The following is a 5,136-nucleotide window of genomic DNA, read 5'->3' on the forward strand; positions in this document are numbered from 1 at the left end:
CTTGTTGTTTATTACTAAATCTGAATCAGTGAAAAGTCTAGGCCTTTTAAAGTCTAGAGTTTAAAGATCTCAGGTCCTGGGAACCCTGAGGTAGCTGGATTTTCAAAACGCAACCTGAGACACTACAGTTGTGTGGCCCTATATTTTGGAGCTGCATTCCCATGCCGTGTGCTGGGGCTAAGGTGGTTGAGTTTCACATTTATTGACAGTGTTTTTAAAGTTTGTTTCTGGGAGATTTGAAGTGATTTTCAAACTCTGTAACAGAAAACTCTACCCTGAAAAGCAGCCAAGTGTAGAGTGGTTCTGTTGTGGAGAAGTCCATTGCTTGAGTCCTCTCCAAGCTCCTTGACGGGCCCCAGTGCACCTCTAAGGACTTCCGGGGCTCTTCTGAATTGTTCGAAGGCATCAAAAATGTGATAATTCTGGCATACATATACATATAAAAAATATCCCCACATGTCATCCTTTATTTCGTCTGCTGCTTCTTAGAGTCCTTGTAGGTGTTCTGTCTCCAGGCCTGCCCTTGTAAATGTGCTCGGCTCCCCTATGAGAAAGGAGTCAAAGCTTCTGTACACCATTGTGGAGTCAGGGTAAACACTCTGTGATCTCCCCTGATCCCATGCATTTAATAAAACCAATGTTCCTTCTTTAAAAGTAAAAAGTGCTCCGGTTCTTCTACCCCCATAGTAGTTGGCTGTGCCATTGGTGTGGAAGTCGGACTCCTTACCTGTGGCCTTCAGCAGCATGGGGCAGGGAAGGAGCCTGCACTGAGTGTCTGCCATTGCCAGCTGGATGCTGGACATACACATCTCCCTCTCCTCAGTCTGGTGAAGAATGGGCCTGCGCTGTCCAATAGGACAACCACTGGCCACTTGTGACTATTTCAATTTAAATTCATTAAAAATGAAATAAATTCAGTTCTTCAGTCATGCTAGTCATATTTCAAGTGCTTAGTAGATTTGTGCAGCCAGTGGCTACCCTATGGGATGTTGCAGTTGTAGAATGTGACTGCCATTAAAGATAATTCTATGAGGCCGGGCATGGTGGCTCACCCCTGTAATCCCAGCACTCTGGGAGGCAGAGGTGGGTGGATCACCTGAGGTCAGGAGTTTGAGACCAGCCTGGCCAACATGGAGAAACGCTGTCTCTACTAAAAATATAAAAATTAGCTGGGTGTGGTGGTGTACACCTGTGATCCTAGCTACTTGGGAGGCTGAGGCAGGAGAATCGCTTGAACTCGGGAGGCGGAAGTTGTGGTGAACTGAGATTGCACCCTGTGCTTCAGCCTAGGCAACAGAGTGAGACTCCATCTCAAAAAAAAAAAAATAAATAAATTCCATTAAACAGTGATGGGGCAGAGGTTAAACATGTCCAAGGACACACCGCCAGTTAGAAATAGAATCAAAGAGAGGTCAGGCTGGGAAAGAATAATTCTTGTGTTTTACTTCCATTTGGTTTCTGAACACATTCTAGGATGTTCTCTCTGTTCCTTTGTTCAGCAAATGTTGAGTACCCACTATGTAAGCACGGCACTGTTCTAGGGATATATCACTGTACAAAACAATCAATCCCTACCCCATGGAGTTTACATTCCAATGGGGAAAGACTAACAAAAAACATACACAATGTAAGTCCAGGTGCAGTGGCTCACCCCTCTAGTCCCAGTGCTATGGGAGGCCAAGGTGGGCAGATCACTTCAGCTCAGGAGTTTGAGACCAGCCTGGACAATGTAGCAACCTCATATCTACAAAAACATACAAAAAAAATTTAGCTGGGCGTGGTGGTGGGCTCCTGTAGTCCCAGCTACTTGGGAGGCTGAGGTGCAAGGATCACTTGAGCCTGGGAGGTGGAGGTTGCCATAAGCTGAGATTATGCCACTGCACTTCAGCCTGGGTGACAGAGTGAGACCCTCTCTCAAAAACAAAACAAATACACAATGAAAAAACAGTGAATTATACATCAGGAGGCGATGAGTATAATGGAAAAGATGTGTTAAAGCAGTGAAACAGGGTAAGGGAGATTAGAAGTGCAGGTTGGTTGTAGTGTTAAACAGGGTGGTCTGGGTAGGTGTATGACTCCATTTTAATGCCACTGATAAAGGCATACCCGAGACTGGGAAGAATAAGAGGTTTCATTGGACTTACAGTTCTACATGATTCTGAGGGGAGTCCTCAGAATCATGGCGGAGTGTAAAAGGCACCTCTTACATGGTGGCAGCAAGAGAAAATGAGGAAGATGCAAAAGCAGAAACCCCTAATAAAACCATCAGATCTCATGAGACTTATTCACTACCATGAGAACAGTATGAGGGAAGCTGTCCCCGTGATTCAAATTATCTCTCACCAGGTTCCTCCCACAATATGTGGGAATTATGGGAATATAATTCAAGTTGAGATTTGGGTGAGGACACAACCAAAACATATCGTTCCATCCCTGGCCCCTCAAAATCTCATGTCCTCACATTTCAAAATTAATAATGCCTTCCCAGCAGTCCCCCAAAGTCTTAACTCATTTCAGCATTAACCTAAAAGTCCATGGTCCAAAGTCTCATCTGAGACAAGGCAAGTCCCTTCCACCTATGAGTCTGTAAAATCAAAAGCAAGCTAGTTACTTCCTGGATACAGGAGGGTACAGGTATTTTGTAAATACAGCCATTCCAAATAAGAGAAACTGGCCAAAACAAAGGGGTTACAGGGCCCATGCAAGTCTGAAATCCAGCTGGGCAGTTCAAATTTTAAAGCTCCAAAATGATCTCCTTTGACTCCAGGTCTGTAGGACCTCTTTAGGAAGGTGGCATTTGAGCAAAGACTTGAAGCCAGTGATGAAGTTAGGTGTGTGGACATTTGGGACAGAGGGAAGAACTAGTGCAAAGGTTCAAAGGTAGAAGTGTGCCTGGTGCATTCAAGGAGAGCGAGGAAGCTTGAGTAGAGTGGATCAGGGACATTTGTGGGATGAAGGCACAGTGGTGGAGGAAGGAGGCCGACGATGTGGGGTTTTGTAAGAACTCTGACTTTGACTTTGAATGAGATGGGAAGCAGAAGCCATAGAGGTTTTCAGAAAAAGAGGCATGATCTGGCTTGTGTTTTAATGGGATTGTTCTGGCTACAGTGTTGAGAGTAGGCTGCATGGGTAGAGGGAACAGAAGCAGGTCATCTGCTATTGTAGTAATCCAGGAACAAGACGATAGTCATTTAGACCGATTACAGTTGTAGTGATGAGAAATATGGGAAGATTCTGGATCTACGTGTTTGAAGATGAAACCTACAAAAGCTGCTGATGCATTGGATATGGGGTATGATAGACAGGCGGGTAAAGGATAACTCTAAGATTTTTGGCCCAAGCAACTAGAGGGATTGAGTTTCCTCAGCCAAAAGAAGAGCAGATTTACCTGGGTGCAATGGTTCATGCTTGTGGAGGCTGAGGCAGGAGGATTGTTTGAGGCCAGGAGTTTGAGACCAGCCTCATCAACATAGGGAGACCCTGTCTCTACAAAAAACAAAAACAAAAAAAAACCAAGCACAGTGGCTCAAACCTGTAGTCCCACCTACTTGGGAGGTTCAAGCTGCTTCTTGCTTGAGCCCAGGAGTTTGAGGCTACAGTGAGCTGTAATTTGCCACTGCCCTCCAGCCTGGGTGATAGAGTGAGACCTTGTCTCAAAAAAAATAAAAATAAAAGAGCAGATTTGGTGTGTCTGATGAAGAAAGAGAAGGTCAGATGTTCAACCTGCTAGTTTGACATGCCTAATAGACATCTAAATGGAGATGCCAAGGGGGCAGGTGATATATGAATCTGGAGTTCAGGAGTAATGACTAGGTTGGAGATATAAACATGAGGTTCATTAGCATATGTGAGTTGGAATTTAAAGCCCTGATATTAGATGAGATGCCCAAAGGAGTAAGTAGATAAGAAGAGACCCTAAACTGAGCCCTGGGGTGCTTCAATCTTAAGAGGGAGCTAGCCTGTAATCTCAGCACTTTGGGAGGCTGAGGCAGGTGGATTGCCTGAGGTCAGGAGTTCAAGACTAGCCTGACCAACCTGGTGAAACTCCGTCTCTACTAAAAATACAAAAATTAGCTGGGCATGGTGGCAGGCGCCTGTAATCCCAGCTACTCGGGAGGCTGAGGCAGGAGAATCGGTTGAAACTGGGAGGCAGAGGTTGCAGTGAGCTGAGATCATGCCATCGCATTCCAGTCCGGGCAACAAGAGCGAGACTTCATCTCAAAAAAAATAAAAAGTAAAAAGAGGTCGGGATTAAAGGGCGGAACCAGCAAAAGAAACAAAGAAGGAACAGTCAAAGATGGAGGAGGAGTCTAACATTCTGAAAGCTTCATGAAGGAAAAGTTTTTCTTCCCTTTGTTTCTTCTTCCTCCACCCTCTTCTTCCATCCCAAAGCCTGATGCAGCAGGTTATGGAGAGAAAGAACAGGAGCCATGGGGAGGGCTGCACAAACAGGATTGGCTCATCTCAGCATCTCAGTTACTTTCCACCTTCCACTTTTCATTCAAACACCTGGCAGGTAGAGGTGCTTAGTAGGATGAATGAGCTCATGCATTCCGATTTCTGGGCTTTTCAGTTTTTAAGAGTCAGCTGTCAGTGGGGGAGAGTGGTTGACACCCAGATGTTATGGGCTGAATGGTGTCCCCACCCCCAAATTCATATCTGAAAGTCCTAATCCTAATACTTTGTTTTTAACTTTTAGTTTTTTTAGACAGAGTCTTGCTCTGTTGCCCAGGCTGGAGTGTGGTGGCATGATCTCGGCTCACTGCAGCCTTCGCCTCCCAGGTTCAAGCGATTCTCCTGCCTCAGCCTGTCAAGTAGCTGGGATTACAGGTGTGCACTACCACACCCGGCTAATTTTTATATTTTTAGTAGAGACGGGGTTTCACTACGTTGCCAGGCTGGTCTTGAACCCCTGACCTCAAGTGATCCTCCTGCCTTGGCCCCCCAAAGTACTGGGACTACAGGTATGAGCCACCACACCTAGCCCTAATCCTAATACTTTAGAATGTAACTGTCTTTGGAGATAAGGCCTTCAAAGAGGTGATTAAGCTAAGCTTAGGTCATTAGGGTGAAAAAGAGGAGATCGGGACACAGACATGTACAGAGGGAAGATAATGTGAAGATGTAGAGAACAGC

This window comes from Homo sapiens, chromosome 1, assembly GCF_000001405.40.
Source record: "Homo sapiens chromosome 1, GRCh38.p14 Primary Assembly".
Lineage (NCBI taxonomy): Eukaryota > Metazoa > Chordata > Mammalia > Primates > Hominidae > Homo > Homo sapiens.